General features: G+C 50.8%; 1 protein-coding gene across 20 annotated transcripts in view, besides 1 other annotated feature; it reads right to left on the reverse strand.

Moving 5' to 3' along the window:
• The window catches only part of MIER2 (MIER family member 2), a 39,224-nt gene that overhangs the window by 10,491 nt on the left and 16,625 nt on the right, over positions 1-12,108 (reverse strand). For all 20 annotated transcript variants that reach the window (NM_001387154.1, NM_001346105.2, XM_047438972.1 and 17 more), the window contains 4 exons: positions 11,801-11,926; positions 11,070-11,193; positions 10,444-10,535; positions 9,572-9,641 (listed from right to left, as the gene is read on the reverse strand). In NM_001387154.1, coding sequence (NP_001374083.1) covers positions 9,572-9,641; positions 10,444-10,535; positions 11,070-11,193; positions 11,801-11,926 — 412 coding nt within the window. The remainder of the gene's footprint in view (positions 1-9,571; positions 9,642-10,443; positions 10,536-11,069; positions 11,194-11,800; positions 11,927-12,108) is intronic.
• Positions 11,598-12,098: an enhancer, noted in NCBI's record as "H3K4me1 hESC enhancer chr19:327661-328161 (GRCh37/hg19 assembly coordinates)". NCBI's record gives its function as "activates a minimal SCP1, AML or CMV promoter by ChIP-STARR-seq in naive H9 embryonic stem cells {active_cell/tissue: H9 hESC(naive)}" and the evidence as "EXISTENCE:reporter gene assay evidence [ECO:0000049][PMID:30033119]".

Here is a 12,108-nt window from a genome sequence, read left to right on the forward strand (position 1 = left end):
CCCTGCAAACCTGGAAAAACATGCCATGAAAATATGCTTTAAAGAATGAAAGCAAAAATCCAGGCTTTTCAGACAAAAAAATGCTGAAAGAAAGCACAAGGCCTATTACAAAGGAAGTTCTTCCGGCTGAAGGAAATGATTCCAAATGGAAGCTGGAGGAAATATGTGGATAGGATAAATACAAAGAATGTTCACTGTTTAAAACAACAATGTTATCATCTTGTGATATGTAGATTTTTTTTTTTTGGAGATGGAGTCTTGCTCTGTCCCCCAGGCTGGAGTGCAGTGGTGCGATCTTGGCTCACTGCAACCTCCATCTCCGGGGTTCAAGCGATTCTCCTGCCTCAGCCTCCCGAGTAGCTGGGACTACAGGTGCCCACCACGCCTGGCTAATTTTTGTATTTTTAGTAGACACAGGGTTTCACCATGTTGGCCAGGCTGGTCTCAAATTCCTGACCTCAGGCAATCTGCCTGCCTCGGCCTCCCAAAGTGCTCGGATTATAGGCATGAGCCACCACAGCCGGCTCATATGTAAAATTAACGATAGCACAAAAGGCAGGGGGCAGGTAAATTGAGTTAAACTGTTTCTTGCATTGTAGGGGAACTAGAATGTACTTATTTCAAGCTGTGAGGCCCGGTGTGGTGGCTCACTCCTGTAATGTCAGCACTTTGGGAGGCTGAGGTCACTGGAGGTCAGGAGTTCAAGACCAGCATAGCCAACACAGTGACACCTCATCCCTACTAAAAATACAAAAATTAGCTGGGGATGGTGGCGTGTGCCTGTAGTCCCACCTACTTGGGAGGCTGAGGCAGGAGAATCGCTTGAGCCCAGGAGGCGGAGGTTGCAATGAGCCGAGATCACACCACTGTACTCCAGCCTGGGCGACAGAACAAGACTCTATCTCAAAAAAAATGTAGACTGTGATAAGTCAATAATTCATGTTGTAACCTCTAAAGCGCTAAAACTAAAACTTATAAGCTGAAACAGAAGGACAAAATAAACCTATTAATCCAAAAGAAGATATAAAAAAATTAAAAAACAAACAACAGGCCAGGTCCAGTGGCTCACGCCTGTAATCCCAGCACTTTGGGAGGCCGACGTGGGCGGATCACGAGGTCAGGAGATCGAGACCATCCTGGCCAACATGGAGACAACCCATCTCTACTAAAAATACAAAATTAGGCCGGGCGCGGTGGCGGGCACCTGTAATCCCAGCACTTTGGGAGGCTGAGGCGGGCGGATCACGAGGTCAGGAGATCGAGACCACCCGGGCTAACACGGTGAAACCTCGTCTCTACTAAAAATACAAAACATTAGCCGGGAGTCATGGCGGGTGCCTGTAGTCCCAGCTACTCAGGAGGCTGAAGCAGGAGAATGGCGTGAACCCGGGAGGCGGAGCTTGCAGTGAGCTGAGATCGCGCCACTGCACTCCAACCTGGGTGACAAAGCGAGACTCTGTCTCAGAAAAAATAAATAAATAAATAAATAAATAAATAAATAAAATAAAAATACAAAATTAGCCAGGCATGGTGGCGGATGCGTGTAATCCCAGCTACTTGGGAGGCTAAGGTAGGAGAATCACTTGAACCCGGGAGGTGGAGGTTGCCGTGAAGTAAGATCGCATCACTGCACTCCAGCCTGGGCAATGAGAGTGAGACTCTGTCTCAAAAAAAAAAAAAAAAACAAACAAACAAAAAACAAAGAACAGATGGAACACACAGAAAGCAAAGAGCAAGATGGTGGCATTACACAATTGTTTTATAATTACATGACATACAAGTGATTTAAAAAATGTACATGGACTAAAAAGTCTATTAAAAGACAATGGTTTTCTCAGACAATTAAAAATAAGATCTAGGTCGGACACAGTGGCTCACACCTATAATCCCAGCACATTGGGAGGCCGAAGTGGGCAGGTCACTTGAGGTCTAGAGATTGAGACCAGCCTGGCCAACATGGTGAAACCCCATCTCTACTAAAAATACAAAACTTAGCTGGGCATGGTGGCGGACGCCTGTAATTGCAGCTACTTGGGAGGCAGAGGGGGAAGAATTGCTTGAACCCGGGAGGCGGAGGCTGCAGTGAGTGGATATTATGCCAATGCACTCCAGAGACTCCGTCTCAAAAAACAAGATCTAAACATGTGCCATTTACAGAAAATACACTTCAAATATAGGAATCTAGAATGGAAAAAAGAATGGGAAAAAACCATGCAAACACTAAACAAATCAACAAAAAGCTGCTGTGGTCACACTGATGGCAGATTAAGTACTTATTTACGGTAAGAAGTGTTACTACAGAGAGACACGTCACAATGGTAAAAGAAACAATTCAACACAAAGACAAAGCAATCTTAACGTGTATGCACTTAACACAATGTGAAGTAAAAATGGACAGCATTAAAAAGGGGAAATAGACAATCCACAATCAGAGGAGGTCATTAACAATCTTTCAGTAAATAGAACAAGCAGCCAAAAAAATTAAGTGAGAATACAGATGATGTGAACAACAATTATCCAGCGGATCCAAGGGAATACACGGAAAATTCCACCCAACAACAGCACAGCACACTCTCTTCAAACACGTACAACATTTACCAAAACAGATCAAATAATGGACATAAAGCGAGGTGCAACTAATTACAAAGAACTGAAATCACGGAGTATGTTTTCTGACCACAGTGTAATTCAATTAAAAATCAGTAAAAGGAGGCTGGGCGCGGTGGCTCACACCTGTAATCCCAACACTTTGGGAGGCCGAGGCGGGCAGATCATGAGGTCAGGAGATCCAGACCATCCTGGCTAACACAGTGAAACCCCGTCTCTACTAAAAAATACAAAAAACTAGCCGGGCGTGGTGGTGGGCGCCTATAGTCCCAGCTACTTGGGAGGCTGAGACAGGAGAATGGCGTGAACCCAGGAGGCGGAGCTTGCAGTGAACAGAGTTCACGCCACTGCACTCCAGCCTGGGCCACAGGTGAGACTCTGTCTCAAAAAAAAAAAAAAAATCAGTAAAAAGGCTGGGTGCTGGTTCATGCCTGTAATCCCAGCTCTTTGGGAGGCCAAGGTGGGTGGATCACCTGAGGTCAGGAGTTTGAGACCAGCCTGGCCAACATGGTGAAACCCCATCTCTACTAACAATACAAAAATTAGCTAGGCGTGGTGGCGGGCGCCTGTAGTCCCAGCTACTCAGGAGGCTGCGGCAGGAGAATCGTTTGAACCTTGGAGGCGAAGTTTCCAGTGAGTCAATATTGCACCACTGAACTCCAGCCTGGGCAATAGAGCGAGACCCTGTCACACACACACACAAAAAGTAAAAAACAGAAATCCAGCAACAGGGAGACATGAACAAGGCTAAAGTTAGTCCTTTGTAAAGAGTAATACAATTGATAAAACTTTTTGTTTTTGTTTTTGAGACGGAGTCTCGCTCTGTCACCCAGGCTGGAGTGCAATGGCGAAATCTTGGCTCACTGCAACCGCTGCCTCCCGGGTTCAAGTGATTCTCCTGCCTCAGCCTCTCCAGTAGCTGGGACTACAGTTGCGTGCCACCACGCTCAGCTAATTTTTGTATTTTTAGTAGCGACAGGGTTTCACCATGTTGGTCAGGCTGTTCTCAAACTCCTGGCCTCGTGATCCGCCCACCCCAGCCTCCCAAAGTGCTGGGATTAAAGGCATGAGCCCCCACTCCTGGCCTCTCACATCTTAAAGAATAATTCCTCCAGAGGTTAGGAAAAAGGCACACTTCCAAACACATTCACGAAAGCAGCATAACTCTGGTACCAAAACCAGACACGGACAAATAAAAATAAAAGGACAGGCCAGTACCTCCATGAACATACATGCAAAAATCATAAATGTGAGCACATCAAACTGAGGAGGGAAGGGATTAAATACGTATATGTTGATTTTCATTAATCCAGGTGCTCACAGCGAGCATGTAATCACTGCACCAGGGGATACACAGCATTTTCATCAAGCAATCAATACATAAACTTGTTTCAGGTGTCCACTTAAAGACGCCTTACTGCAGGCCGGGTGCAGTGGCTCATGAGTGTAATCCCGGCACTCTGGGGGGCTGAGGCGGACAGATCACTTGAGGCCAGGAGTTTGAGACCAGCCTGGGCAACAAGATGAAGCCTGGTCTCTACAAAATAAACAAAAAAAAAATTAGCCGGCGTGCAGTGGCGCACATCTGTAGTCCCAGCTACTCGGGAGACTGCAGCACGAGAATCACTTGAGCCCGGGAGCAGAGGTTGCAGTGAGCCAAGATTGCGCCACGGCACTCCAGCCTGAGCGACAGAGCAAGACTTTGTCCAAAAAACTAAATAGATAGATAGATAAATAAATAAAATTTAAATTTAAAAAATAGATACGTAAATAAAATTTAAATTAAAAATAAATAAATAAAATTTAAATTTTAAAAAATGTGTCATTGCAGGGGTTCCCAACCCCCAGGCCACAGCTGGCCGCACAGCAGGAGGTGAGCGGCAGGAGAGCCAGCATCACTGCCTGACTCCGCCTCCTGTCAGATCAGTGGTGGCATTAGATTCTCATAGGAGCGCAAATCCCACTGTGAACTGCACACACCAGGGAGGCAGGCAGCACACTCCTTATGAGAATCTAATGCCTGATGATCTGAGGTGGAACGGTTTCCTCCTGAAACCACGCCCCCTACTCCAACATCCGTGGAAAAATTGTCTTCCACGAAACCAGTCCCTGGTGCCAAAAAAGGTTGGGAGCCACTGTCTCACTGGATCTGCCTTGTGGATTCACTAACACTGAACTCACGGCCAGCAGCCCCAGAGCTTGCGCCTGAGTGGAGCTTCTCGAATTTTCTCTGAAAGGGACATCATAGCCTTCTTCCACCTAAGAACACCAGACAGAACGTCGGCACTACATTTAGGGGCCACTTTAATCCGTCAAGTAGCCGACACAAGGCACAAGGATGTGAAAAACGGCATTCAGTACACGGCAGGAAAGGCACGTGCTCACAGTAAAAGATCTGAGAGCCAAGACAGAGCAGCAGCTTGTCCCACCTCAGCTGGAACTGTACGTCAGGTAACTCGCCTTCACTGACACTCTACACACATCTGCTGGCGCCTGACCGTAAAGGTGTTGCGAGTTTTGATTTGCGGTTTCAAATAAATTTTACCAAGTAGGCAATTCACCAGCACAGAACCCACAAATAATGAGGACTGAGTGCATGAGATACATACACACAAGAGAGAACACTTCATGGCCAGGAAGCACGTTTATTCCACCGTGCACCGTTAACTTAACGTTTGAAAATCAATTTATGGGCCGGGCGCAGGGGCTCACACCTGTAATCCCGGCACTTTGGGAGGCCAAGGCAGGCGGATCACCTGAGGTTGGGAGTTCGAGATCAGCTTGGCCAACATGGTGAAACCCCATCTCCGCTAAAAATACAAAAATGAGCCAGGCGTGGTGGCGGGTGCCTGTACTCCCAGTTACTTGGGAGGCTGAGTGGGAGAACTGCTTGAATCCAGGAGGCGGAGGTTGTGGTGAGCTGAGATTATGCCACTGCACTCCAGCCTGGGCAACAGAGCAAGACTCCATCTCAAAAAAAAAAGATTAAAACTTGTCAGTTGCTGAAAAAAATAAGTTTTAATCTTAAAACTTACATAGATATGCAATGAAAACTTACAAAGTTAGAAGACTTGCACCACCTCAGACTTCCTTGTAACCTGTAATAACTGAGACAGTGGCGATGACTCCGGGTGAGACAAGACACACCTTACAGGCACCTGATTTACCACAAAGGCGTCACTGCAGCTCAGTGGGGGAGACAATGGACTTTTGTTGTTTTTATTTTTATTTTTATTTTTATTTTTTATTTTTGAGACAGAGTCTCGCTCTGTCACCCAGGCTGGAGTGCAGTGGCGCGATCTCGGCTCACTGCAAGCTCCGCCTCCCGGGTTCACGCCATTCTCCTGCCTCAGCCTCCCAAGTAGCTGGGACTACAGGTGCCCGCCACCACACCTGGCTCATTTTTGTATTTTTAGTAGAGACGGGGTTTCACCGTGTTAGCCAGGATGGTCTCAATCTCCCGACCTCAAGTTATCCTCCCACCTCGGCCTCCCAAAGTGCTGGGATTACAGGTGTGAGCCACCACGCCCAGCCACCATACACCAAAATGTAAACTAAGTTGGATCACAGCCTTAAATGTGAAAGGAAAAACAATAAATCTTCTAGAAAGAAACGTGGAAGAATATCTCCAAGAGCCTGAGGTAAGCAAACACTCCTTAAGTAGAACACACACACACATTATTATTCAAATAATGATTGATAAGTTGGACTTTATTAAAATTAAAGACATCACTAAGAGAGTCAATGGGCAAACCACAAACTGGAGAAAACAGCAGCAGTGCACAAAGCCCAGAAAGACTTGTTTCCACAAAATGTGAATGACTACAAATCAGAAAGGGAAAGACAACAAAATGGGAGAAAGCTTGGAGCACGCAAAGAGAGAATATCCAAATGGCCAGTACACCTGCGAAAGGTGCTCACCAGGGAAATGCCAATTAAAACCACAATGGGACAGGAGTCCATATCCACCAGACGGGCTAAAATTCAGGCAAATTCACCCTCAGTGGCAAACACCGAGAATGTGGAGCAACTCCCACAAATCATTAGTGAGAAACTCAAGCAGTATGCGTCACCCTAAGCACACACCTCCCACACGACTCCCCGCTGTCCATCAAGTGCCGAGTGCCTATGTCCACTAACGACGCACACGAGGGCATTCACAGCCCACAGCTGAACCAACCATGACCGCAGCCCATGGCAGAAAGGGTGGGTAAATGTGGCATCCAAACCAAGGACCACGATGCAACACACAAGACACACACAACCACGGCATCCAAACCAAGGACCACAATGGAACACACAAGAGACTCAAAAACCATGGCATCCAAACCAAGGACCACAACGCAATACACAAGACACACACAACCACACAGACAACTCAAATGACAGACGTCATCACAATGCAATACACACGACACACACAACCACGCAGACGACTCGAATGACACAGGCGTCATCACAATGCAATACACAGGACACAACCACACAGATGACTCAAATGACACAGACGTCATCACAATGCAATATACAAGACACACACAACCACGCAGACAACTCGAATGATACAGTCGTCATCATAATGCAATACACAAGACACACACAACCACGGCATCCAAACCAAGGACCACAACGCAATACACAAGACACATACAACCACGCAGACGACTCGAATGACACAGACATCATCACAATGCAGTAAAGACACACACAACCACACAGATGACTCAAAGAACAGACATCATCACAATGCAATACACAGGACACACACACACAACCATGCAGACGACTCGAATGACACAGGCATCATCACAATGCAATACACAGGATACAACCACACAGACGACTCAAATGACACAGACGTCATCACAATGCAATACACACACAACCATGCAGATGACTCAAATGACAGACATCATCACCATGCAATACACAAGACACACACAACCATGGCATCCAAACCAAGGACCACAATGGAACACACAAGACTCAAAAACCACAGCATCCAAACCAAGGACCACAATGCAATACACAAGACACACGCAACCACACAGACAACTCAAACGACACAGACGTCATCACAATGCAATACACAGGACACACACAACCACAGACAACTCGAATGACACAGACGTCATCACAATGCAATACACAAGACACACAAAACCACACAGACAACTCGAATGACACAGGCGTCATCACAATGCAATACACAAGACACACACAACCACACAGACGACTCGAAGGACATAGGCGTCATCACAATGCAATAAAGACACACACAACCACACAGACGACTCGAATGACACAGACGTCATCACCATGCAACACACAGGACACACACAACCACGCAGACGACTCGAAGGACACAGGCGTCATCACAATGCAATACACAAGACACACACAACCACGCAGACGACTCAAAGGACATAGGCGTCATCACAATGCAATAAAGACACAACCACACAGACGACTCGAATGACACAGGCGTCATCACAATGCAATACACAGGACACACACAACCACGCAGACGACTCGAATGACACAGACGTCATCACAATGCAATACACAAGACACACACAACCACGCAGACAACTCGAATGACACAGGTGTCATCACAATGCAATACACAAGACACACACAACCACGCAGACAACTCGAATGACACAGACGTCATCACAATGCAATACACAGGACACACACAACCACACAGACGACTCGAATGACACAGGCGTCATCACAATGCAATAAAGACACACACAACCACGCAGACGACTCGAATGACACAGACGTCATCACAATGCAATACACAAGACACACACAACCACGCAGATGACTCGAAGGACACAGACGTCATCACAATGCAATAAAGACACACACAACCACACAGACGACTCGAATGACACAGACGTCATCACAATGCAATACACAAGACACACACAACCACGCAGACGACTCGAATGACACAGACGTCATCACAATGCAATACACAGGACACACACAACCACGCAGACGACTCGAATGACACAGGTGTCATACCGAGTGGGAGGGGCCAGCTGGCATCCCATGGGACGAAGAAGTCCTGGCTGCTCCAGACAGGGCACCCTCATGGGGGGTGAGTCAGGGTGGGGAAAGGGCCCTGATGACAGACTCCAAAGCCAGGGTTTCTGGGTGAGGGTCCCAAGTGTCCCCTCCGACCCTGCCTTCTGGATGTCCCAGCAGCTTGGCTGCACCTTCCTGGCTCCGTCCTCTTCTCACACGGGGCACCCCCGACCAGCCCCAGGAGGACGACTTCTCTTCACGGAGGGTCCCTGTCTCCCTGGACTCAGTACTTCTGCTGCACCTGTCCCTTCCCACCACGCATCTCAGCCACTGAATCACCTTGGAGAAGGCTCCTGAGCTAGGAGCACTGGCCCAGGGCCTGCAAGGGCTCCAGGGCAACACAAATGAGACCCAAGTCAATGGGCACGTGACTCCACGCCTCAAAGGGGCAAGAGAGGGTCGATTTTGAACTCTAGTGGGAAAGAGACGAAGGTCAAGCCCAGGAAAGGGAGCACCCTGAAGAGGAGCGGAGCAAGGCCGGGGGTGCAGCGCAGCATCCGGCGGGTCTCTGGAGAACCATCTAACCCGGCACAGAGCCATCGAATGCAGCGGCCCAGGCTGTGGGGAGGCGGCTGGAGTCAAGGGCAGGGCAGGGCTGGGTCAGAGGCAGGACGGGCTGCTGAGGGTCTGGCTGCACAGGCTGACCAGAGCAGACCCCAAGGGAGGGACAGAGCTGGGCAGGGGCAGGCAGCAATAGGCCCACTGCAGCCACGAGAGCCTCCCACCTCCTCCAGCCACAGGCTCAGCTGCCCCAGTGAGCGATGCGGGGCGGGGACCTGACCAGACTGTCCAAGGATCTGACGTCCAGCCAGGCCACTCCCCTTGCAGAAGTGGGTTTCGCCTCCTCTCCCCAGGCCCTACTTACTCTTCTCACAGTGCCGGTTCAAGTGCAGGTTGCTGAGGTCAGCTTGGAACTGAGGTCCCACCATGATCTCCTGCAAAGCAAGCACCTGGGAATCAGGACACTGAGGAGCATCTAGGCCGGGCGGGAGGCTGGCTGCAGCGTGCTGTGGCAGGCTTACGGGGAGGGGCCACTGTCCAGACCCCAGACCCATCTGTGCCGTCTACCTGCTGATGCCCAGTTCTGGGGTCTGAAGGTGGGAGGCAGAGGCCTGGGTGTGTGAGGGGTGAGGCTGTGTCCTGACGCCTGGCCTGGCAGAGGCCCAGACAGGATGTCGGAGGACAAACACTCTGGGTCAGCAGCAGGGGCCCAGGCTCCGGTCCAAAGCACCTGTGGCCGGTCCCAGCCCACCCTGGGGTCGAGCAGCACGTCCCTCCTCTGAGAAGGGGCACAAACCCAGGGAGAGGGCTCAGCAGGACCCGGCTGCGGTTACTGAGGCCGAGATACCAGGTTGGGGAGAGGGCAGAGCCATGGGAGGGATGCCAGGTTGGGGACACGGCAGAACCACGGCTGGGATGCCAGGTTGGAGACACAGCAGAGCCACGGTCGGGATGCCAGGTTGGGGACACAGCAGAGCCACGGTTGGGATGCCAGTTTGGGGAGACGGCAGAACCACAGTCCGGATGCCAGGTTGGGGACACGGCAGAGCCACGGCCGGGATGCCAGGTTGGGGACACGGCAGAGCCACGGCCGGGATGCCAGGTTGGGGACACGGCAGAGCCACGGCCGGGATGCCAGGCTGGGGAGACGGCAGAGCCACGGTCGGGATGCCAGGTTGGGGAGACGGCAGAACCACGGCCGGGATGCCAGGTTGGGGAGATGGCAGAACCACGTACCTTCTTACATTTGTTGGCAGGAAGAGAGTCCTCCTCGGTGTCGGAGGAGGCAGAAGAGCCAGGCTCTCTGTCTTCATCAGCCAGGAAACGAGCTTTGGGAAAACAGAGGCAGGTCCCCCAGGGTCTCCACTGCCTGCAGCCTATACAACCCCTTCTCTCCACTCCCATTCTCCATCCACCTGATCCCCAGGCCATAACCCTCTCTCTGGCCAGACATTGGGTAAACAGATGGGCACAGGACCCAGGACCAGGGATGCACCTTTGAAGAAAGAGGCCTTCCCTTCTATGCAGCTGCTGCACCTCTGGGCCCCGAGCCCTCAGTTCCCAGGAAAGCCAGCACAGAGGCTTGTGAAGGAGGCCGGTTCTGGGAATGCTGTCCCTGGATCTGCTAGGGGAACCAACATGTTCCCTACTTGTTTAAACCAAATCGCTCTGAGAGTCCAGGCTCACTGGCCAGCGTGGAGGAGAACAAAGCACCCCCAGGGCTACTGACGCTTCCCGCCAGGCAGACGCCCTCATCTGTGATGAGTTCTTGGCCTGCATCAGCCCAAGGACCCTTCATCAAGCATCACGACTGCCTGGCAGGGGGCCTGGCTGCGGTGGAGTATGGGGACAGAGTCACCTACATCCACTCCGGTTAGGGAAGAGGTCGGAGGCCTCGTGGGAGGTCACGGACGGGGTGAGGTCGTCAGCAGATGATTGCGTCTCTTCCTCTTCTTCCCCTGAAAGCAAATCCTTCGCTATTTGTTCCTTTAAAAAAAAAAAAAAAAGTAAAGAACATTTTACAGTTTAACAATCTCGCAATACCACTAATGATAACAACAGTAAAGACACTGGGAGTGCCCTGAGGCTCACATGGGGCTGCTATTCCCATTCTGCAAAGGGTGCACAGCGTGGGGGGAGCGGGGATGGGAAGGAGACACGTGGGAGCCCACACCCAGCCACCAGAGCTGGAGACAGTTAGAGCTGCCACTGGGCACACGCCCGGAGTGCATGGCTCTTTCTCTGACTGTGCATTTGGTTTTAACCTTCTACAATGCAGCCCGCCCCTGCTCCCAACACCCAAGCCTTGACCTGTGACCTCTGGGTACGGAATGGCAGAGAGACCAGTCCTGGGGAGGCCCCGATGTGCCCCTCCACCCACCAAAGCCAGAATGACATGTGGCCTGGGGTTAAGGCTAGGGTCCAGCCCCATGCCCATGGCCATTCCAACCCCAGGGTAGTGGTCACAGGTACATTCTACTTATTCTGGGGGCCTTTGTGCCTCCTCTCACTGAACACTCCCCTCTGCAGAGAGGCAGCGCCAGGCCCCCCCACCTTCAGCTGTGAGCCAGTTCCAGGAAGGGCCCTCACTTACTTTGTCCAGGGTCATGTCTGGGAGGTTCGGGGCCACGTCACCACCCTCACTCTCCCGGTCTGAAATGGGGTCTGACGCCTCGTAGCCATAGAGCGCAAGCAGCTCATCAAAGGGCATGTCGTTGCTCTGAGTTGGGGAAGGGAACAAGGCCCCATCAGGAGGGACGGCTCTGGGGGTTCCTGTCCCTGTCCTCTTGCCTGAGCCTCACTGGCCACAACCAGGGCCACTCTGTCACACCCATAGCAACTCCCCACATGGCAGCACTCCCCAGCCAGACCTCAGGCCCAGTCCTTCATCCAAGAGCTCCT

This window comes from Homo sapiens, chromosome 19 (genome assembly GCF_000001405.40).
Source record: "Homo sapiens chromosome 19, GRCh38.p14 Primary Assembly".
In the NCBI taxonomy this organism is placed as follows: Eukaryota; Metazoa; Chordata; class Mammalia; order Primates; family Hominidae; genus Homo; species Homo sapiens.